A 22746-nucleotide genomic window follows, 5' to 3' on the forward strand; every position below is an offset into this window, starting at 1 on the left:
CCGCCGCCTCGGCGCTCATCGGGGTGTTTTTTCACCCTCTCGCGGTGCACGCTTTTTCTCTCACGTCAGCTCACATCTTTCAGTACACAGCCACTGGGTCTCCCTGCCCCTCCAGCCTTTCCTAGGCAGCTTTGAGGGCCCAGACGACTGAAGTCTTACTGCTAGGATGGGAACACGATGAAAAAGGAAGGGGCCCAGTCAAAAGTCCTCTCCTCTTCGGTTTTTCTTCAACTGTCCTTCACAAAAACATTTATTTCTGTCCCAGCGCCCTGGCGGATTTCGGCAGATGGGCCCTAGGGGGTTGTGGAGGCCAAATTCCCAGGATGCTGGTCCTGCCTTTTTCATTGGCCAAAACTGTATTTCCTACAACGACTAAAGATAACCAAGAACTGAGTAGACCCTGTTCTCTCACCAGATCTCCCTGGCTCTGTTTAACTTTTCCTGGTGCAATGCGATGGCACCACCAGCTCCCCAGGCAGGCACCACTCCCTCAAGATACCATTTGGGGTAGGGATTTGAGTCCTGGAGAGGGTCAGCGGGGCGCCGGGGTGGGGGTGGGAAGGAGACTGACAGGGACACACCGCGAGCTCCGCATACTCTCCTCTGCCCCCTGTAGCCCGGGGCTTTAATGACCCCAAGCAGATTTCCTGTCTCTGGTCTAGCCAGCTGCCCCTAGGGCTGGATTTTATTTCTTCATGGGGTTTCACCCTAAAGGGCCCCCTGGTCATGGGACCTGGTTGGGAACAAATGAAAGATGTCTTGTAGCAAATGCTTTCAGGGGAGCAGAAAAGAAGATTGGGCACTTCCAGTCACTTGGTCACTTTAGGTGGCTGGAACAAAACTGGTGACTTTCACGACTGCTACAGGGTGAGGGGGTGAAGGGTGGCAGAGAGGTGACAAGCCACTGGGAATCCTATTCAGTGGGGATGCCGACAGGGAGTGGCTGTAATCAACTGAGCAACATCTGTGTGAATGTTATTCACAGGTCAGGACAGCAGCTTGGTCTTCCCAGGTGAGGAACTGAGGACTGGCCTGCATAGATTTGTGCAGTAGGTGAGTAGCTTCCAAATTTATTTTCAGAACTTCCATGTAGTACCTGCCTCTCCATTTAAATATTTTTTAAAATTTTATTTATTTAAATATTTTCTTGGTTAGCTTTCCAAGAGGGAGGAAAAGAGGGGAGTTGCAACAAGTAGTGCCCCTATGCTGGGATTCATTTTCCAGAGTAAAGCCTGGGACTGGCACCCTGACCCCTACCGGCAGGTGAAAACTCCAGGCAAACTGCTGAGATCCCACCTGGGCTGGCTGAGATAGTGCCTGGGGTGCATCCCTCAGCAGCTGCCACCTGGGCCCTGGGGCCATCTCTTTCTCTGGCATCAAGCAGCCAGGTGTCAAGGCCTTCCCAGCAATCCATGCTGCATGGCTGGGTCTTGTTCTAGCAGGTCGATGGGCAGGGACTGGTAGCTTAGCCAGGGCACCAGTGCGTGGCTGTGGGTTTGTGTGCTTCTGTGGAGAAGCATGATGTGTATGTGTGTGTGTGGGCACAGGCATGAGGAAGGGTTCATTTGTGCAGGTATCTCCCATGTATATCAGTGTGGGAGAGTGCCTGAGGATGTGTTTGTGTGTCTGAAAATGGGCGGAGGGTCTGTTGTGCTAATGTGTGCAGGGGTGAACATGTGTGTGACAGTCTGTGTGTTTCCCTGAGTGGTGGCTGCGTGAGAGGGTGAGGGGATTTGGTGTTGTCTACCATGCCCGGCACATAGCAGGCTCTTAATAATCTTGAATTTAATTAATGTTAAATGTGTATGTTCCCATCCTTGTGGAAGTTGGTATAGAGCCTGTTTTCCTGTGATTGTGAGACTGGAAAATGGGGGACGGGCAGGGGCGAGACAGGATACAGAGGCTACTGTTTTCTTCCTCCCTAGAAGTAAGTACATAGAAGAGTGGGCTCTGGCACCTCACGGGACATCACCAAGTCCTGTGTGGCTGGCTAGGCTGTCCCAAGGTGGCTTCAGGCATCACTTGAATCTTTTGAGACCTTCAGGCAGTAGCCTGCCATTCACCCTGTCAGTCAGCAGAAGTTGGGCCCACACAGGCCATAGAAACACAGAGCAGTTCCCGGGAGGACCTGAGCTGTCCCTGAGAGCAGAGCTTCCAGGAGAGGCCGCAGGAACTGCCTTGACCGGAATTCCTCTTGGGGTGCAAAGGTGGAGGGACACATGGTGCGACCCCAGGCAGAGGACTGCAGCCACTCCGTGCAGTCCCAGCCTCTGGGGTAGCCCCTTGACCTCCAGGCCTGCACAGATCCAAGGCCGAGGTCCAGGCTCCAGCGCCAAATTAGCTGGCCTAGCAGCCTGCAGCCGCTCTAATCTCAACTAGGAAGGAATCCTTGCGCTTAGAAAGTCCAAGCGAAAGGGTATTCTGATTTTATCCCGGTTTTACCAGAAAATGCTGAAAGGAAAAGCCCCGAGAGGACACAGTGCTCTAGGAACTCGGGGCGCCACGAGCGCCTCATCCCCTCCCTTCCGCCCGGCCGCGGTGCCCTGGTCGCTGAGGGACGCGGTCAGTACCTACCGCCACTGCGACCCGAGAAGGGAAAGCCTCAACTTCTTCCTCTCGGAGTCCTGCCCACTACGGATCTGCCTGGACTGGTTCAGATGCGTCGTTTAAAGGGGGGGGCTGGCACTCCAGAGAGGAGGGGGCGCTGCAGGTTAATTGATAGCCACGGAAGCACCTAGGCGCCCCATGCGCGGAGCCGGAGCCGCCAGCTCAGTCTGACCCCTGTCTTTTCTCTCCTCTTCCCTCTCCCACCCCTCACTCCGGGAAAGCGAGGGCCGAGGTAGGGGCAGATAGATCACCAGACAGGCGGAGAAGGACAGGAGTACAGATGGAGGGACCAGGACACAGAATGCAAAAGACTGGCAGGTGAGAAGAAGGGAGAAACAGAGGGAGAGAGAAAGGGAGAAACAGAGCAGAGGCGGCCGCCGGCCCGGCCGCCCTGAGTCCGATTTCCCTCCTTCCCTGACCCTTCAGTTTCACTGCAAATCCACAGAAGCAGGTTTGCGAGCTCGAATACCTTTGCTCCACTGCCACACGCAGCACCGGGACTGGGCGTCTGGAGCTTAAGTCTGGGGGTCTGAGCCTGGGACCGGCAAATCCGCGCAGCGCATCGCGCCCAGTCTCGGAGACTGCAACCACCGCCAAGGAGTACGCGCGGCAGGAAACTTCTGCGGCCCAATTTCTTCCCCAGCTTTGGCATCTCCGAAGGCACGTACCCGCCCTCGGCACAAGCTCTCTCGTCTTCCACTTCGACCTCGAGGTGGAGAAAGAGGCTGGCAAGGGCTGTGCGCGTCGCTGGTGTGGGGAGGGCAGCAGGCTGCCCCTCCCCGCTTCTGCAGCGAGTTTTCCCAGCCAGGAAAAGGGAGGGAGCTGTTTCAGGAATTTCAGTGCCTTCACCTAGCGACTGACACAAGTCGTGTGTATAGGAAGGCGTCTGGCTGTTTCGGGACTCACCAGAGAGCATCGCCAACCAGAACGGCCCACCCGGGGTGTCGAGTCTTGGTAGGGAAATCAGACACAGCTGCACTCCCGGCCCGCGGGCCTTGTGGCATATAACCATTTATATATTTATGATTTCTAATTTTATTATAAAATAAAAGCAGAAATATTTCCCGAAGAACATTCACATGAGGGCATTACGGGGAGACGGCAAGTCGGCGGCTCGGGGGGCGCGCTCAGCCGGGAGCGCTGTAGTCACAGTCCCGGGAGGAAGAGCGCGGTGTGGCGGGGCCTCGCCAAGAGAGAAGGAGGAGGGGCGTATGACGAGGCGGCGTTTAGGGGCTTCTGTGGCGCTGCCCTTTCTCTCTCACTTAAGTTACTAGACGAAAAGCTGACACCTGCAGCTCCCACTGACCCACATGGGCGAGGGAAAAGGCCTCAGGAGATGGCCTAGGTTCAAAGTCCCTGTATTTTCTCTCCTCTTCCCTCTCCCACCCCCTACTCCGGTAAAGCGAGGGCCAGAGGTAGGGGCAGATAGACCACCAGTCAGGAGGAGAAAGACAGGGGTACATACGGAGGGACCAGGACACAGAGTACAAGAGACTGGCAGGAGAGAAGAGAGGAGAAACAGAGAAGGAGAGAGAAAGGGAGAGACAGAAGGAGAGAATGAACGGTGGCAAGCTAGAAATCTAGAAGGAAAGCAATACAAGGAGAGGGAGAAAGACAGAAAGCAGAAAAAAGAAAAGAGAAGGAAGGGAAAGGAAGAGGAAAGGGGGAAAAGGCAAGACAAGAGAGGGTAAAAGGAAGAGACAGAGGGAGAGAGAGAATGACAGTGGTGTATAATTTATTCCCTTCTGTGGTTCAAGACTCAGTCTCCAGCCCCAAAAGGATCCTAAAAGTAACTTGTTGAAAATAAATCCCAAACAAGAACCAACATAGACAGCTATCTGCCCTACCCGGCTGTTCTACCCGCTCAGCCTGCGGGTCTTTCAGTACCTGGTGGGGCCGCAGGGGCGGGGCGCCCCTGGACACCGCCACTCCACGTCCCCAGTGTCAAGTCACAAAAGGCAAGCTCATCAAGGCAAATGGGTTCTAGGAGCCCAGGTCCACGAGGTTGGCTGACATGGGGTTGAGGATGGAGTCCTGCAGGCCATGGTGGTGTTGCAGTGGGTCCGCTCCACCTCCGCCTGGCACCGGCACTGGCACTGCGCTGGGGCCCGGAGGGTGGCCCAGGCTGTGCAGGGACGGCAGCCCAGGGGGCGGCGGGCTGAGGAGCAGTGCGGGGCTGGATGATGAGTGGTCTGGCGTCCCCGATGGAGTCTTCTCATCCTCCGAGCTGCCTAACACCGACTTGCCGCTGCCATTCAGCGGGTTGTGGCTGTTAGAATTGGAGTTCTCGTTGTTCTCCCTGCAAGTGCGGGAGCAAAGCAGCGGGGTCAGCAGGGACATCGAGACCACCCAGCGCCATCTCAGTCACAGTCAGAGCCAGCCACCAGCCTCGGGAGACAGATCCCGGGCTTGTGGCCTGCGGGTGTTTTCGGTTTCTACCATTTCCTCGACCTGGTCTGGGTTCTCCTTTCTGCCCGTTCTCTCCATCTCTCAACACCCAATTTCTCTTGCCCCTCTGCCCTTATCGTCCCCACCTCTCATGCTGTCAATCTCATCAATATCTTTTCTATATTTCCTCTTTCCCCCCTTCCCCAATATTTCTTTTCAGGAACAGAGGTGCAGGAGAACAGGGTTCCCTGAAGTTGTGGGGTGAGCCGGGAGGAAGAGACGATGCCTGGATTTTCAGATCACTCTAGGCTCCACAAGCCAGGTTTGCTGGGTAGATGTGGGGCTAGCAGGTTAAGGAACCCTGGATCCCAGGTCAAGGGATTTAGGGCCTCTCACAAGACTTCATTTCCCTTTGCTTTTTCTGCCCGAGGGAGACCCCTGGCTGGGAGACAGGCTCCTGGGGCTAAGCGTCCTTTCCCTGTAGCTCCAAACTGGGCAGCCCTGTGAGGGCTCTCCTTGCTGGGCCTAGAGACAAGGGTCCAAGGATGGAGGACTCCCTTTCCGTGGTGGTACAGTGAAAACGTCAGCTCGGAGACCAGAAGCTTGGGGGATAAAGGGCAGCCCCTGGGAGAAGGCCGAGGCTTTTCCATTGTAACCAGCCACTCCGGGAATCTGCAGCTCTCATCTGGGGCCTGGTCTGAGAACCCAGGTTTTCAGGAGTCTGATCACATGCCGGTTTGGGTGGAGGGGGACCCAGCAGAGAGAACCCACCTCCTTCTATGCCTTTGACTGACAGCTCCTCCCCAGATTTGGATATTTAAAATCCTGGGTAGGATCTCTTGTCACCAGCTTCGGGAGGGTTTTTCTTTCTGCTTTCCTGGGAGGGAGCTTCCCACAGGGCTGGCAGCTGAGACCTCACCACTGTGGAAACTCCAACCTCAGGGTCTCAGATACCTGGAAGTATCTGAGCCTGCAGCACTCCCCCTAAGATGTTTCTGGTTCAGCACCCTCACCTCTGACCCTGATCATTCAAACTCAGGGTGGAACACACCCCATATCACCAACCCCAGGTGTCCTGTTTTGCTCTTACCCCGGGCTGGATTCTGTTCCCATAATAAGTTTCTCTCCAGGTTTGAGGTCCTGAGGGGTTATAGGGCAGGCAGTGGCAAGGGCCTAATGATCAACCTTTAGGCTGGTTCAGGAAGTCCTGGTTTACCTGAGGACATCCAACTCCCAGCCCCTCTGTGCCTCTCAGCTCACCGCAGACATTCCGACCTACCCATCAGAGGTAGGGCCTAAGGAGAGAGGCATCAAGGGCCTGGAGTGCCAGGGAAGGGCGGCTATCTCTAGCAAGGCAGAAAACAGGGCATGCGTCTCTTCTCTCCCAGAACTGACACTTCCTCCCTTTCACCTCTGGATCCTTTCTAAGGAGATAAAGGACCCGCTCTCAACTCCATGTGACAACGAAAATTCATGGCCTGGCTTTTCCCCATCCAGGTCATTCTAGGGAAGTTCCAGCCCCAGTCCCGACCCCATCACACTTTGGCCTGGAGCTAAGGCTGGGGGGAAATGCCGGGAAGCACCACCAGCAAGAAATCTGCAAATCCCCTTTCATCTGGGCTCAAACCCCTCTGTCCTGAGGATGACCAGACCTACTGTGCCTGCCTCACAGGGGATACAGGCCCACAGTTCTGCGCTGCCCCGAAGCTCTCTGCTTCTCCACCCTTTTCCTCTAGCGACCGAGTAGTTAGTTGACAACTTCCTGAATTGCTCTGCCCGCTTTAGACAAATCCCTGCTCGCCGGGTCTCCGGCATAGAAAGGCCTAAGCATCGTCCAAGTCAGGCCGGGCTGCCGCTGGGCTGTGGCCGGGCCTGGGGGCCCAGTTTAGGCCTCTCCGGGGGACCGGCAGAAGCCCTGCGAACCCCTCCCTTGGGCCCCGGGGAGCTGGCGCCGAAGAAGGTCTACTTACTCGTACCTTTCCTTGGCCTCGGCCGCCCGGTCGCGCTGCCGCCGGTTCTTGAACCAGTTGCTGACCTGTGTGGTGGTGAGGCCCGTGGCCTCCGCCAGCTCACGCTTCTCGCGGGGTGAAGGGTAGGGGTTGTGCGCGTACCACTCGCGCAGCACGCTGCGACTCTTTTCCTTGAAGCAGTAGCTGGTCTCCTCGCCGTCCCAGATGGAGCGCGGCAGCGGGAATTTGCGGCGCACGCGGTATTTGCCCACGGCGCCCAGGGGTCGGCCGCGCAGCTTCTCCGCCTCGATGTAGTGTGCCTTGAGCCACAGCTGCTGCAGCTTGGCGTGGTTGTGCGGCGAGAACTGGTGGCTCTCCAGGATCTTGTAGAGCTCGCGGAAGTTGCCGCGGTGGAAGGCCACCACGGCCTTGGCCTTGAGCACGCTTTCATTCTTGTGAAGGTGCTCGCAGGCGGGCAGCGACCACAGGAAGCGGCCCAGCCGCTCGATGTTGCCGCCCTGCTGCAGCACCTCGCACACGCACGCCACTTGCTCCTGCGTGAAGCCGAAGGTGGGCAGCATGGACATGGTGCCGGCTGCGTCCCCGCCCGCCCGCGCGCGCCCTCACCGGGCCGCGCGGTCCCGCATGGGAGCTTCCTCGCCGGGCCGTCCGGGCCGAGACGCGGGCGGGGCTGGCCCCCTGGCCCGGCACTGGCCCCCGGTGAGCCCCGAGTCACTGCCGTACGTCCCCGCGCCGGCCGCGGGTCCCACGAAGCTCCGAACCCCAACGGCCCGCGCGCCTGGCCCAAGCCCTCGCCCAAGCCCGGGGGCCGCCCGGGGCGCCGCTCCGCATGCTCCGCGCCCGCCCGCCGTTCCCTCGCTCGCTTCTCACTCGTTCTCCCTCCCGTCTAGCTGGCTCTCAGCTTTCTTAATAATATTATTCTAAGCGGGCATGAGGCGCGGCGGCCCGCGCCCTGATTGGTCCGGTTATCTGACCCGGGGCCTGCCAGCGCCAGACAATAGTCGGAGTCAAATTATTCGCCATGGAGACGCTGTCAGTCACTGGTAACCCGAGCCTCGGCGGGCCGGGCGGCTCCCCCCGGCCGGCTCCGCTGACAGATCGCCCCGCTCCGCGCAGAACTGAGGGCGGCTCTACTGGAGCCTGGGGCGCTCTGAGAGCCTGGGAGGCGGAGAGGGGCCGGGTTGGGGCCGGCGGCGGCGGAGATTGACGGGGCGGATGCCCAAAGAGGGAGGGAGGAGGAGGACAGGAGAGCGGGGGGAGCGGGCGAAGACGAAAAGGGGTGGATCGAGGTGGGGAGAGAAGAGGAGAGAAGGGAAGGCGGAGACCGTTTAAGGGGGTGTCCAGGAGGAAGGGGAGGGAGAGGGGTGGAAGGAGACTCCAGGGGAAGAAAGTTTGGGCAGCTTTGGCTAGGAGAGGGCTCTGCAGCCTCGCCCAGACCCTACAGGGTTCCCCTTCTCCCCAGGTCACCGCGTCCCTCCCAGGCTCTCTGTTCACCGGGCACATTCTACCCCGGCGCAGGCCAGTGGGATGGGAGAGTTTGGACGTGCTCGGGTGCCGCCCAAAGACTTGGCTTTTTCTGCTGACAGCGCCCCACCCCCATCCTAGAAACTCTGGACTCAGCGGTCCTCGAGGGAAAAGGGGAGGGAGTAGACGAAAGAAATGGGGAAGATTTGGCAGTGGCCGCAGGCGGACGCCGGAGAATCGACTTCCCGGAGGATCCCGCCTTTCCTCCCTCTCCTAGCCCCGCCGGCTGCCTGGCGGCCTGTACCGCCCCAACTCTGCGCTCTCTGCTCCTCGCCGGGCGGGGACTCAGACTTAACCCCACGGGTCCCACAGCCCGAGGAGCGCCAGGCAGTTCCGTGTGGCCTCTATGGAAGCTGACTCCGGCCGGCAGCTGCGACGCAGAACCCCGGACGGCGCAGACCCGCAGTCTGCCCACCGGGGCGGGGGAGAGGGGCGACGGCAGGGACTCTAGGACGGTGGTGGGGCTTCCCCGGTGGGTGGTCGGGGAGGAGAACGGAGGCAAGATTCCCAGTCCTCCCGCTTCGCCGCTGGGGATCGGCTCGGCTCCTGGCCACTCCAGCCTGGGAACCGGCTCGCTGAGCTCCGGGATGAGGTGCTTTAAAAGGGGGTCCTGTTTTTTGCTTCTTTGTCAGGGTGCCAATGGAAACATGTGGTGCTGGTCCTGTGGGAGAAGGGCTCGCACAAAGGTGGGAGAACTGAGGATGGGTGTGTTCTTGCTCTACGTTTTGAAAAGCCCGGGGCTTAGCTCCTTCCCGGACATGTCCTTTCCACTTCCTTCAGTTTCCTCCTCTTCCCCCCTCAGCTGCTGCAGGCCAGGAGCTCCTAGGGCCATACTCAGTGCCTGACCCAAGCCAGCACAAATCCTGGGCTCTGCCCTCAGCCAGTCTAGGGCTATGGAACCCGAGTCTAGGCCAGTTCCTTCTTTCCCACCCTTTTATGCTTTCTATGGAGTTTGTGCTAGGAGCGCGGAATGGGAGTCTAGAGCCCTGGGTTCAACTTTTGGTTTTGCTTGGTGTCTATGGTAAGGCATATATTTATGCCTTTGTGTTTATTTCCTTCTCTGCAAGATTTCAAAAATTTTCCCTGTGCTGCAGCATTCCGGAAGTCCTTTGGGAGTGTTGTAGGCATGAGAGAATGGAACCCTGGGACTCCTCTTAAGACTTTAGCTTCCAGGGGCCTACCCTGGCATGTTGAATGAGGCCACAGGGCTGACAAAGTAGGTCCCAAGCCAGTGCGGGTGCAGAAAGGGGAAGCTTTCTGCAGAAATCCAGGTGGCATCTTTAGAGTCTGTATCTGTGGGCTGGGAGGAGGTCTGCTGTGTCCAGGCCACCCTATCCAGAGTCCTATGCACTGCTGCACAGGGGCTGCCCCAGAGTTGGATCTAAGGACCCTGGGAGACATGGAGAAGAATTTACCGCAGACTGTGATGAGGTTCAAAGCCCAATTTGCTGACCTCCAACAAAAGTGCAACGTACTCTTTTCAGCACGTCTCCTTCAGCTACGTGGTTAAAAGGATTCACCTGGCTGGCTGGTCCCAGCCCTGGCAATGGCCATCTTACATCTTAGCGTGCTTAGGCTGGGGCTGCAGAGGAGCACCCTGGTCTGGTGTGGGTGAGTGAGACCAGGCAGTCACTTCCTGGTATGAGACCCTGGGCCAGTCCCCAGTCTGCTCTTCATTCTCTTCCACTATTAGATTGAAGCCTGGGTAATCTCTCAAGTTCCTGCTGGTTCTGGGATGGGGTGGGTCTAAGAACACTAACCCTGAAAAAGCATACAATCTCTGCAACCTCAGCCACAGCCTTCACCATGAATGTGCCACTCCTCTGACCCATGAAGCTTTAAGATTAAACTTCCCCCAGGACTGGGTCCCGCCTATGTTCAGTGAAAGCAGATTTTTCTGGAGCTTCAGACTCACTGTTCCTCCAAGTGCTGCCCTCTTTGCAGCCCCTGGGCCCTAAGCCCATGAATCAGACCTGCCAGGAGCCTCCAGGCAACACTAAGCAGCACAGAGAGAACAGAACAGACATGGGGCCTGCCACCGTGGATAACATACTGTGTGCCATATGAAAAGTCATTACAGAGGAAGCACTGAAAACCTGGAGCACCGTTACCCGATGTATGGGTGTGTGTCAATATGCCCCTCATTCTCCTCCTCCCCCATGTATGTAGAAAACTGGTTCCAGCACATCTGGGCCAGAACCTCTTGGTAGCAGCAGTAGCTGGGTTACATGCTGAATGAGGGTCTCCTCACACTCCTTAGCCCCTTCCCTGCCTGGCCCATTCCCCGATAGTCTTTGCCACAGAACAGAATACTTGGGAGGTGTCTGGATGAGGATTTAATAGCCAGCCTGAGCCAATGACAATCTCAGCCCCCTAGTTGCAGTGCCCAGAGCAATTGCTGAGAGGCCTACGGGGTGCCGAAACTTTTGGTTCTACCTCACTCCAATCTCCGGAATCCCTGTCCTCCTTCCTGTCCAAAGACCCATTCCCAAGAGGCTTGTGCTTGCTTTTTATCCAGCAAAAACGGGAGAAACTCCATGGCTAGGGGGAGAAACCTTTTCGGAACCATGGAAATTTGAGCTTTACTGAAACACCTCCTTTCACCTCCAAGCTTCCCTGAAGTCCCTGGGAGGATGAGACTTTCTGGAAAGCAGCAGCAGGGGTGGGTGGGTGCTCCCCAGTGATCTCAGGCTGATGGAATAGCTTTGTCCCAGACGAATTGTCAGGGACAGTTTGGGGTCTTTGTGCCTGGAGTTGGGCAGGAAGCGCCCAGGACAGAGCCAGAAGGCACCTACTGTCCGGCGCCCATTGGGCAGCCCAGGGCTGGCACACCGCGCCCAGCGGGTGCACTTCTGGGCAAAGGAAGAAGTCAGCCCACTGGCCTCCCGAGGGCTTCCCTGGTTTTGGGATGGGGCCGTTTCGCAAAGAATAGGGTAATCTAGGAAGAAGGAGCTGCTCTCTGGCTATTTCCAAGGCCAGCGGATGGGTAGGCCTTTGTTCTGGGCAAATCAGAAACCTTGTTTGTGACAGAGGGAAAAAGAGAAGGGGGCGGGTGCTCGGTGCCAAGTCAGGGGACCAGAGCTTTTTTTTTTCGGTTTGTTTTTGATCTTTATTTTTCCAGCCTATAAAGGCGGCAGAAATCCCCTGGGTAGACTCTGGCCCTGGCGCCGCCCGCCTCGGGCGCTCCATGCTGCTCCGCACCTCGGGCTCTGGGATGCTCCGGCCTGGATGGAGGCTCTCCGCCCTCTCCCAGCTCCGAGCGCCCCAGCCGACATGGGCCTGGCGCGTTCCCCAGACAGTCCCGGAGTTCTCTGGGCCTGGGCGACGTGTTTCGTTGAAAGCGGGCAGGTGGTGCCGGGCGGGGCTGCGCTGAGGCTCCGGTGCCTCCCCACCTGCCCCTCGTACCTGCCGGTCTGTCGGGTCCCGGCGGACGCAACCAGCTACTCGCAAACCCTGCACCAGCGGTTTTCCGTGTTGTCCTAAGAGGGGCAGGTCAGGGCGAGGCCAGTCGGCTCACACGAATTCTCTGTGTCGGAGAACACGCCCCGCGACGTTCCGAGCCCGGGCAAGGTTGAGAGGCGCTGGGCTCCGGGCGGTCGCACTCTTGGAACCGCGCGAACCGCGGCGTCGCCCGCGCCGCACGTGGCTGGGGCAGTCACAGGCCCCGAGAGCTGGAGCAACGGGGTCACCGCCACCCCTCTGCCCTCCAGGCCTTCACCTTGAGACCCACGCGGCAGCCTGGAGGGCCCACAAGAGCAAACGGTTTAGAGGCCGCGGGCTCACGAGGGATCTTGTTCAAACGAAAAGAACGAGCACAGGGGCTCGGGGCCAGCCTGGAGGCCGGCACAGAGGCGAGTCGGCCCGGGTGGCGCCGGGACCAGGCGGGATTTGGGGCGGGTATCCGGGCCCGGGCGCTGGCAGCCTCCCTGCGACCCCCGGCCCTGCGTCCCCGCCCGCGGTCCCGCCTTAGTCCTGGAGTCCCTTCCTGGGCCCCTTCGCCTGGGTGCGGAGGGGCGCGGGCGCGGCGGGCAGGGCCACGGGGCGAGGGGACGGGCTCGCGGCTTTGGGTTCAGGGAGCCGCGGAGCTCCACCGCCGGGTTGTTTTGCAATGGGGCTTTGGAGAGGTTGCGCGTCCCGGGCCCCATGGCTCCGCCGGGTCTGCACGCCAGCGCCCCCACGCGGCGGGCCCAGAGTTCAGGCCGGCGGGGCTGCGCGCTCGGCTCCCCGCAGGCCTGTAGCCCAGGAGGGAGAGGAGGGAGAGGACGCGGAGAGGGCCCGCTGGTTCTTCCCTCCTCACCCCAGCACTGACCCGCCTGTGCGCTGGCACGGAGGGCTCGAAAATCGGGGCGCGTCCGCGAAGAGCGAGACCTCGGAGACAGACACACAACCCAGAGGTGCACTAGGTTGCCAGACGGTCTGATCACAGGATTCTTGGGGGGATAGACGCTGGCTTTTCTCCATCACACGTTTCCCCTGCAACGTCTGGGTGCCCAGGAAATGTTTGAATGGATGCCTGAATGACCAATCGGGTTTGACTGACAGCAACAGCTGGGAAGTGACCCGGCCAATAGGAGAATGGCCCTCTTCCTCCTCTTTCCTCCCGCTCTTCTCTCCCAGCCCCCCCTCTTACTCTCCTGTTCCTTGGAGGGGAAGTCTCAGAGAGTGGACGCTTTCCTTCAACCAGGAGCCCTGGGTGCTGGAGTCTCCCCAGGGCCCGAGGAGCTACAGACTGAACTCACTGCCCTTAGAAATTCCAGGTCTAACTGCCTATAGCATCACCAGGTTCCCATTCTTCTTGGCTCAGACCCACCACTTTCTGCAGGAAAGAAAGTTTTCTAAGTAGAGTTACTCCAATTTTTCTGGGGCTGCCGTCTTCAGTTGCATTTCCTTACTTTACAAAAATCCTCTGTAGGCAACGAGTAGATCAGGTTTCCTGTTAGAAGTGACTTTTTTTCTTCTTTCCATTACCTGAAAGAAACTCTATCCTGTCGTAGAGATTCCTGGCTTGGCACTTCTCTCATGTGGTATCTATTTTTATTACCATTAATTACAATGCATCAGCCCGACTCATCAGTGATACCCCCTCCTGCCTGGCTGGTGACTACTGTTCGCTTTACCCATTTGGGTAGCGCCTGGGCAAGAGGCAACTCCCACCCGGCCATTGGAGGCAGCCACATAAGGGTTTCTACCGAGTTCTACATTTTTAAAGGGAACCTAGAAAAAGCCAGCATTGTTCTTAACTTGGAAATCCAATACTTTACTTTGTTGTCTCTGAATTAAGGCTAAAACCCAGGGGCTGTTTCTTGTAGAAGAATATGTGCTAATTAATTTATGCACAGTGCCGTGAGAACACTCTAATGAAGCAGGTAGAAACAAGATGCAGCCCTGCTGGGTAGGGCAGATCGCTCAGGGAAACCTGCGCATGAGCCTGCAGCAGTGGGACCTGGTCAGAGTTAGCTGCAAAGAGGTGTCTTTCCAGTAGCACTGTGGTATTCTGGTTTGAGGTGACAGGTAGAGTCAGCTCTCTTTGTTCCAACTCTTGTAATGTAGTCACACTATTATAAATGCTGTCACACACACAGAGAAAGGTACGGTGAGTAGAGTGGAGAATGTGGGCTTTGGTGTCAGACAGGCCTGGGTTCTTGACCCAGACCCACCCCTTTAGTAAGTTACTCAATCTTGGAGCCTTATTTTGTGCATTCGTAAAATGGGGATTTTAGAGCCCAGTGTTTGGCACGCAGTAAGCATTCAACAAATAAATTGTTGAATTGAATACAACCACTTTGGGGATTAGAGAGAAAGTTTATGAAACATCTGGTACATAGTAGATGCTTAGTAATTGACGCTTTTGTCACTAGGGCTGTGATCATGATAGTGTGTTTAGAGTTGCATACAATTAATGTTATTTCAGAAAGCACCTGACTTCAATATCAAAAAATGGATTGACTTTCCAGGTGACAATTATTATCAAGACTCTATTAGATGCCCAGACCTGGACTAAGCACCCTGGGAAATGCTGAGATACGTGACTGGAGGTCCTCGGGGGCAGTTGGAAAGACAGGAATGGGTACAACAGGAGACCACCTTGGCGTCTGCGGTTCACTATCCACAGCAACCGTGGAAAGAGTGTGGGCTTTGGAGTCAGGCTATCTGGGTTAAATACTGCCCCTGCCACTTAATAACAGTGTGACCAAAGGTAAGCAACTTTATCTTATGGAGTCAGTTTCCTGGTCTTGGTAGATGGCAGAGGGAATAAAAGTAGGTGTAACTGGCTGGGTGCAGTGGCTCACCCCTGTAATCCCAGCACTTTCGGAGGCAGAAGCAGGCGGATCACTTGAGGCCAGGAGTTCAAGACCAGCCTGGCTAATATGGAGAAACCCCATCTCTGGTAAAAATACAAAAATTAGCTGGGTGTGGTGGCACAAGCCTGTAATCCCAGCTACTCAGGGGGCTGAGAACTGCTCAACCCCAGGAGTTGGAGGTTGCAGTGAGCTGAGATCATGCCACTACACTCTAGCCTGGGTGACAAAGCGAGATTCTGTCTCAAAAAAAAAAAAAAAAAATAAGATGTAACCAACACCTTGCTTCCAGGGGTTTGAGAAGAGGAAATAAGCTAATGTATATGACAAGGCTGGATTCCCTGTGTGGAGACAAACTGGAGAACTTCAGCTGCCATCATGTTTTACATTATCTGATAGTATTTCCAGGATTTTGGTCACATTAGAATAATTCTCAGAAAGCAAAAGGCAGCTGCATACAAATGTAGTATTGCATATTTCGATGGGGTTGAGATGAAGTTTTCTGCTTCTATTGTGTTTGTTCTCAGGACTGAATACAAAGCAGAACTCATACTGAAGGCTCTGTAGGTGTGTGTGGACTGGGATTGTGACCAAGATAAAATAAAGTGACTCCTCTTCCCTTCCCTAACTCCATCCTCATCAGCCCCTGAGCCCTCTGAGCCTTGAGAGAGAGCCAGGTGTATCTGTTGAAATAAAAAATAGCTTCCACTAATAGAGTATCTTCTATGCACAAAATGGTATATTAAGGTAGAGTGGGTACAATAATCCTGTAATGTGGGTATTATCAGCATTTACAGGTGAGGAGACAGGTTCAGAGAGGTTAAGCAACTTGCCCAAAGTCATACAGCTCATAAGGAGCCTCTGGAATTTCAGTCTTTGATGCCAGAACCCGTAGTATAAACCATAAGCCTTGCTGCCCTTAGTTCCTCTGTAACAGCAAAAGTAATGATAGGAAGAAGTTACTGAATTCTTATTATGTGCTAGGCATTGTGCTATTTCACATAATCTCAAGTACCGGTATGAACTGGATGTGATTAGCATCTCCATCTTACAGGTGATGACGCTGGGGCTCATAGAGGTAAGGTGTAAGTCTGGCAGCTATGCTAGAGCTGGGTTCTCGAACCCAGGCCATTTGGCTGCAGAGTGCATGCTCTGACCCACTACACTGGGGCCTGGTTTTCTACCAAGCTCTCCTCCTTCACCCACGAAGCCATTCCTCTCTCTGAGCTTGGGTTCCCAGACACTTCCAGCTTCCAATGGTTGAGAGAGTTCCTTCTAGGTATCAGGAAGATAGGTCTAGGTTCTAGGAAAAGCCATCCCTTGTCCTCCTCAAGTCTCAGCCCCCCAGGCCCTGAGATTTTCTGAGATTGGTGACCTTCAGTCCCTGTTTTCGCCTGGTGAGAAGGAGCCCACTGTGACCAGGGCAAACAATCCCGCAGCATCCTCAGCCCCACAGCTGGGAAAGTCTGGACATGCTCATGGCCCCATTGAGTTGGTATCCATTATGCCTGGGGTGAGCCTGGGGGACTCAGAGAATTTGAATGTCTTAGTCAAGGTACTTTGAAGCACAAGTCATAGAAATCCACTGAGACAAACAGAAGACACAAAAATAAATGTATTTTAAGGATTCAGGGGTAGCATAGCACATGCATTCAAGGGTAAGGAACACCATTGTCCTTAAAAGAAGTGGAACAGAACCTGGGAAATAGTTGGAAATCAAGGCAGGCACACTTTCCCCCACTCTGGATGGGAGAATGGTCTCTTTTCTGTGTTCCCTTCCAAGCGTCTTTGTTCTTCTCTCTCTGAAGAGCAACTTGCCCTGGGTGCTTCCCTAGCCTTTGTGTGTCCTCCTAGTTCAGGCACTCCAGAGGCACTCAGAAATCTCTGCCCCTGCTCCAAATTCCTGAGGGAGGGTATGAGGGTGGAGAGAGAGAGAATCTTATAGGCTCCTCTTGGGTCAGTGATTCCCACTCTGATCAGTGATATTCAGGTTGGTGGGTGGGAGGGATTCTATAGCCCACTGCCCAATCAACAGGGACTGTGAGCCCAGACTTGGAAGAATGAAGTGACTGTACCACTGCGATTCATGTCTGCTATCAATGTGAGAGTCTAGTGCTTGGTACATAAGACGTATTAAATAAATATTGATTTCCTTTCTTCCCCCTTCCTCCTCGCTCCCCAATGTCAGTCCTTTTCCAAGTTGCCCATCACAAATCAGCCAGAACAACCAATTTAGAACACAGATAAGATTGTGCCACTCTGTCTTTACATTCCTCTCATGGCACCTATTAACCTCAGGATGGTATTTAGCCTCCTTACCATGGCTAATGGGGCCCTTTGCTATTGGACTTTGCACATATGAGCAGCCTACCTCTCCCCACTGCCCACTTCTTCCTCAAGGCTTCAGCCAGCCTGAATAATTTGCAGTTCTTGGACTCTTCCACCCCTTCTGCAGCTGTGCATCACCACGACCTATGCTCCTGTAGAGAAGCAGAAGCCCCAGCCTCATTGACTCTGGGTTCAGTTGTGTGACAGGCTTTGATCAATGAAATGTGAGTGGATGAGCAGAAGCTTTTAGAGACATTGCAAGTTGCCACCATGACGCTTCCTTCTTTGTCCTGCATACCCCAGATAGGTGCTGCTCCAGCCTGTGTCACAGAATGAAAAGGAAGGTGGTGCAGAGCTCCATCCTGAAGCAAAGTCACAGATGCCCTGCAGCCTACGTTCAATATGAGCGAGGAATAATGTGTATGATTGTAAACCTCTGAGGTTTGGGGGTTGTTGGTTACTATGGCAAAGCTGAGTAATGTATTTCCCTCTCTCACCTCAAATCTCCCTAGAAATGTCTCCCTCCTTTCCCAATCTCTTAATCTTTCAGGACTCAGATTAGATGTTACTTTCCCTGGAAAACTTTCCTGACATTCTTCTTCCCCAGGTCAGGCCATGGCCCTACTCCAGTTCCCATATGACCTTCCTGTCCTCACCCCCAGCATCACACTTATGTCACAGTGCTCTCACCCCTTGATTTCACACCTGATGGCACCATGACTGGGAGCTCCTTGAAGGCAGGGACTATATCCTTCTGGTTCCTCACTCCTCACCTTTTAAGTCCTCAAAAAAGATTTGTTGAAAAAGGAATGAATTTAGTTGTATGAGTAATCTTCTACCTGTGTGGTAGATTTTGTTTTCTAAAGATGACTACAACATCTCCCATCCCATGTGCTTTTCTTTTCTTTTCTTCTCTTTTTCTTTTCTTTCGTTCTTTTTTTTTTTTTTTTTGAGACACAGTCTAGCTCTATCACCCAAGTTGGAGTGCAGTGGTGCAATCTCGGCTTACTACAACCTTCACTTCCTGGGTTCAAGCGATTCTCATGCCTCAGCTTCCTGAGTAGCTGGGATTATAGGCACATACCACTACACCAGTCTAATTTTTATATCTTTTTAGTAGAGGTGGTGTTTTACCATGTTGGCCAGGCAGGTCTCAAACTCCTAGCCTCAAGTGATTGGCCTGCCTCGGCCTCCCAAAGTGCTGGGATTACAGGTGTGAGCCACCGCACCTGGCTCCACATGCTTTTCTTTTAATGTGACTTTGACATTGCTCTAGTTGAGAGGTGTGTGTGTGTGTGTTTCTCTTAAATCTGGGTGGCCTTGTAAATATGGCAGAAGTAACACAATGTGACTTCTGAGGCTAGGTCATGAAAGGCAGTACCGTGTCCGCCTAGTTCTCTTGGGACACTTGTTCTTGGAACCAGCCACCATGCTGTAAGGAAGCCCAAATAGCCTGTGAAGGGGCCCATGTGCAAAAGAATTAAGGCCCCTTAGGCTTGAACTCTCAAGCAAGCACCAGCACCAATTTGCCAGGCATGTCAGTGAGCCATCTTGAAAGAGGATCCTCCACCTCCAGTCACGGTGTCCCAGCTGATGCCACAAGGAACATAGAGAAGCCATTCCTGTCAAGCCCTGGCCACATTTTATCCATAAATAAAACAAAAAATTGCCCTTGTTTTAAGCCACTAGGTTTTGGAGTGATTGCTACACAGCAATACATAATCAGAACTTTTGGCTTTCCTCTTAGTAATCCAGTTTTCTCGTGGATCTGAGTACCTGTCCTGAGCTCCAGACCCCTGCCTTGGGCCTTAAGAACTGTCTCCCCTGGGGATCAAATATTATTCTCACACCCCTAGCCACTAGCTGGGGCAACTCTCGGATGGATCTTAGCCTCTGGAACTCTGTGGCTGCCCCCTATCTGGCTTCAGGTAATACATTCCCCAGTGTCTGTTCCCTACACTAGGGGCAGGCGCAGTGCAAAGGTATCACAGGGAAATGAGCATAGGCAGAGAACAGATTCAGACTGGGAAGGTCATGAGCCCTTCATAGGGTGAGATTTCCTCTTGGGAAAGGCTTACATTAAGCCTACAAGGTTATTAAGTGATGTCTTTTGCAGCCCTAGCAAGACTATTTAGAATTCTTTTTAAACTTTTCTTCCTTTTTTTTGAGACAGGGTCTCACCCTGTTGCCCAGGCTGGAGTGCAGTAATGCGATCATAGCTCATTGCAGCCTCAAACTCCTGGGTTCAAGCAATCCTTCTGCTTCAGCCTCCTAAACAGCTGGGGCTAATTTAGAGTTCTTGCTGAAAGGATATAGAAAGGGACTCACACACATAAACACACACATAGAATCAAATACGAATGTACATGCACACATGTAAGTAAACATACATATAGGCAAGTATCTGTCTCAACACATACATATAAAAATACATTATAATTAGTAGGAATGATGGATATGCATATTCATAGTCACATGCAGATATAATTTCTGAAGCCATGGGGACTGGTTTGCCTTCAATGTGCCACATGTTTCTGGGTCACTCCCAAACCAGTTCTTTATAAGGGACTTTAGTCACAGTTTCTAGTGATGGTTTTGGGGGAGGGAGACTTGGTTGGTAAGAACAGTAGAACCTGAAACTAGAAAATGTAAACAAACGGCCAGGCACTGTGGCTGACACCTGTAATCCCAGCACTTTGGGAGGTCGAGGCGGGTGGATCGCGAGGTCAGGAGATCGAGATCAACCTGGCCAACATGGTGAAATCCTGTCTCTACTAAAAATACAAAAATTAGCTGGGTGTGGTGGCACGTGCCTATAATCCCAGCTACTCAAGAGGCTGAGGCATGAGAATCGCTTGAACCCAGGAGGTGGAGGTTGCAGTGAGCCGAGATCACACCATTGCACTCCAGCCTAGTGACAGAGCGAGACTCCGTCTCAAAAAAAAAAAAAAAAAACAAAAAGTAAACAAACTCAGTTACTGAACTTTCCCCCTTCTCAATAGCTAGCGCTCTTAATTGGGAAAATTTGTAAGCTCAATCTGTTATAATCTTTGTAGTTGGGACTGTGGTCATGTAGCACATGGCTGGGGCTGTGGTCATTCACAAGGAATCTGTAATTTCTACTACCTTTTTTCTAGCCTATATTTAATCTGAGAAGTTTCTAGGAGGTCATACGTCACCTACGTCAGTACTTACAATGCCCACCAGCAATTCAATCCAATCTAATCTCATTCCATTCCAGTCAATGGACAAATATATACTTCTTTTCCCACAGTATAAATCTGAGGAGTATTTACGCTGCCTCTACTCTATACCCAGCTCTGTGTTAGGCTGTCAGAGGGGGAAGGCTAGCTGGTCAACAAAACTCACCTGTGTGAAGCAGAAGAGAGCAAGACCACCCACCACTCCTCACCACCATGATTGGGACACAGGTGTGCCTAGGTGGGCAAGGAAGGCTTCTCGGATGGGGAAGGTGGTCTTGGTCTGGGGTTTGAACAAGGAGAATTAGGATAGGGGAGGTGTGCCCCTGAGGCTGAACAGGTCTGGGCGAACAGGAGGAAACCATACTATTTCCTTTCTCAGCTCAGAGACTAGGCACATCTTGGCCTTGTGTTTGCTTCTGACTTTGGATCAAAGGAAGCAGGGAACCCCAGAGTCTCCTATTTAAGACTATAAGCTCCGTGAGGTCAGCGTGTGTGGCTGTCTTGTTCGTCATGGGGTCCCCTGCGTCTGGCTTGGCACCTGGTGTGTGGCTTCCTTGCTTCTTCTCTTCCCAACAATTCTCCACCGCAGTCCTAGTGACTTTCAAAATGTGTCACATTACTTTGATGTTTAAAATTATCTGATAGTTCCCCACTGCCCCCAGCACAAACTCCCTATGGAGATCTCCAAGGGCGAAGGTGATCCAGCCCCTGCTTCTCTCTCTCACTGCTTCTGATGCTCTTTCTCTGTCTCTTTGCTCATCATGCTTCTGCTGCCCTAGCTTCCTTCCTGTTCTTCAAATGTGCCAAACTTGTTCCCACCTCTAGGCTTTTACCTTGAGTGTCTCCTGCTCTCTCCACTGTATAATTATGTTTTATCTTCACACTTACCACCATCTGAAAGTATCATGCTTGTCTGATTATCGTTGACTGTTTCGTTCTTAGAGTATAAACTGCATGGCAAAAGGGACTTTGCCTGATGGACTCATGGCTATATCTCCAACATCTGGAACAGTGCATGGCACACAGTAGGTCCTCAATAAATGTTTGTTGAAGAAAGGAATGACTAGCAGTATTATGGTGCACAATGACTTGTAAATGACTGCAGGCTTCAGTTCCAGCCCTAACTGGGTCAGGTGAGGAGGGACTGCTGCCTTCCTGATCTACCTTAGCCGTACCTGAGAAAGCCTGCTAGGCTTTGTGTTTGTCGCCTATCTCCCTCCAGGTGTCCAAAGTGAGAGATTTCTGGGAAAAGCTGAAATACGTAGAAATATACAGAGTCAACCAATACACATTTACTCTGGCCATATCAGATGATGGTGATGGATGGCAAATACAGTCTGGTTGAAGAGAGAGGACTGGTGCTAACAATATCATCTGAGAATCATGCTGGACAGGATGAAGTTAATGCATAGAGCAGTGGTTCTAAACCTTTTGAGGTCAGGGACCCCATTGAAAACATGAAGAAAATGTGTCTTCCCAAGAAAATTCTCACATGCACATAGACATGAAAGGCAGCCTTCAATGCAGGGACTCACAGACCCCAGCATCCCTCCACCAGCCCTGAGCTCACCCCTGGATCCATGGTGGGGGCAGGCTGACAGAGCTTCTAGATCCACCAGTAGAAGGCCTCCTGCTTCTTCCTCGGGAGTCCTAGCACCCCTTTGGATCTAGAACAGGGCGTTTGTGTCCCTTCATAGCCACTAGTATGACAGGCATGAGAATGGGAAATAATCTTCACACTCCCTCACCCCATCCTACTGCACCAGGGGTCTGCCATCTCATCTAGGGCAGAGGCCATTCTTAGCCTTTAGTCAATACTGTCGGTTTCCTCAGACATCAAATACTTTTCCTTTCTCATAACTGTTCATAATTTACTGGATTAAATAATTTCTCCCTCCCTTCCTTTGCCCAGCCATAATGAACACAGAAATGGTCCAGCATCTAGCATGGCAACTTGTACCCCGCAGAAGCTTTTTAAAAAGTCTTTTTGTTAATTTATAAATAGTAGCTGTCTTTTATTGAGTGCTCACTATGACACTGAACAAGGGGCTTGAGAAGAAGGATTTGTGACTCCCCTGACAACTCTCTAAGGTGGAGACTGCCATTAGGCCCATTTTACGTAATGGAAAGTGGGTACTTGGGGTGCAGGGAGGTTAAACTAGGGACAGAGAAGGGAGTTGAAGCAAGGTCTGCTTGCAGAGTCTGGGCATGTGGCCACTGTCCTGTATTGCTACCCTGAGCAGCAGGACTGTTGAATTCATGTTGAATGCACTGACCATGCTTTGGATTCGGCAGGAGCAGAAGGTAGGAGGGGAGAATCCAGGTGCTGCTTGGTGGCCAGGTGGGCTAGTCAATGCCCACATGACCAAGCCAGGCTGCCAGGCCAGGATGCTTCTCCCCTCCTCCTGGCATGGTCCTGGAGCCCGG

General features: G+C 53.5%; 1 protein-coding gene across 2 annotated transcripts, besides 5 other annotated features; it reads right to left on the reverse strand.

Moving 5' to 3' along the window:
* Positions 3603-7873, reverse strand: SIX2 (SIX homeobox 2). Of its 2 annotated transcripts, none has more exons than NM_016932.5 (2): positions 6972-7873; positions 3603-4906 (listed from the first exon to the last, which is right to left on the reverse strand). In NM_016932.5, exons 1-2 carry the CDS (start codon positions 7529-7531, stop codon positions 4591-4593), a joined length of 876 nt encoding a protein of 291 aa, NP_058628.3. In that variant the 5' UTR covers positions 7532-7873; the 3' UTR covers positions 3603-4590. The 2 variants fall into 2 exon arrangements, with proteins under 2 accessions (NP_058628.3, XP_005264157.1); XM_005264100.4 differs by having other exon boundaries at positions 6966-7873.
* Positions 4207-4750: an enhancer, noted in NCBI's record as "H3K4me1 hESC enhancer chr2:45232925-45233468 (GRCh37/hg19 assembly coordinates)". NCBI's record gives its function as "activates a minimal SCP1, AML or CMV promoter by ChIP-STARR-seq in naive H9 embryonic stem cells {active_cell/tissue: H9 hESC(naive)}" and the evidence as "EXISTENCE:reporter gene assay evidence [ECO:0000049][PMID:30033119]".
* Positions 4751-5294: an enhancer, noted in NCBI's record as "H3K4me1 hESC enhancer chr2:45233469-45234012 (GRCh37/hg19 assembly coordinates)". NCBI's record gives its function as "activates a minimal SCP1, AML or CMV promoter by ChIP-STARR-seq in naive H9 embryonic stem cells {active_cell/tissue: H9 hESC(naive)}" and the evidence as "EXISTENCE:reporter gene assay evidence [ECO:0000049][PMID:30033119]".
* Positions 6568-7341: an enhancer, noted in NCBI's record as "H3K27ac-H3K4me1 hESC enhancer chr2:45235286-45236059 (GRCh37/hg19 assembly coordinates)". NCBI's record gives its function as "activates a minimal SCP1, AML or CMV promoter by ChIP-STARR-seq in primed H9 embryonic stem cells {active_cell/tissue: H9 hESC(primed)}" and the evidence as "EXISTENCE:reporter gene assay evidence [ECO:0000049][PMID:30033119]".
* Positions 8346-8945: an enhancer, noted in NCBI's record as "H3K4me1 hESC enhancer chr2:45237064-45237663 (GRCh37/hg19 assembly coordinates)". NCBI's record gives its function as "activates a minimal SCP1, AML or CMV promoter by ChIP-STARR-seq in primed H9 embryonic stem cells {active_cell/tissue: H9 hESC(primed)}" and the evidence as "EXISTENCE:reporter gene assay evidence [ECO:0000049][PMID:30033119]".
* Positions 11209-12029: an enhancer, noted in NCBI's record as "H3K27ac-H3K4me1 hESC enhancer chr2:45239927-45240747 (GRCh37/hg19 assembly coordinates)". NCBI's record gives its function as "activates a minimal SCP1, AML or CMV promoter by ChIP-STARR-seq in naive and primed H9 embryonic stem cells {active_cell/tissue: H9 hESC(naive and primed)}" and the evidence as "EXISTENCE:reporter gene assay evidence [ECO:0000049][PMID:30033119]".

This window comes from Homo sapiens, chromosome 2 (genome assembly GCF_000001405.40).
Source record: "Homo sapiens chromosome 2, GRCh38.p14 Primary Assembly".
Classification (NCBI taxonomy): domain Eukaryota; kingdom Metazoa; phylum Chordata; class Mammalia; order Primates; family Hominidae; genus Homo; species Homo sapiens.

Bases quoted from the DNA above. Each gene is read 5' to 3' on its own strand.
- SIX2 (XM_005264100.4), bottom strand. From the start codon at position 7,531: ATGTCCATGCTGCCCACCTTCGGCTTCACGCAGGAGCAAGTGGCGTGC. The intron at 4,907-6,965 runs GTAAGTAGACCT...CCGCACTTGCAG, and splicing joins GAGGCCAAGGAAAGGTACGA to GGAGAACAACGAGAACTCCA.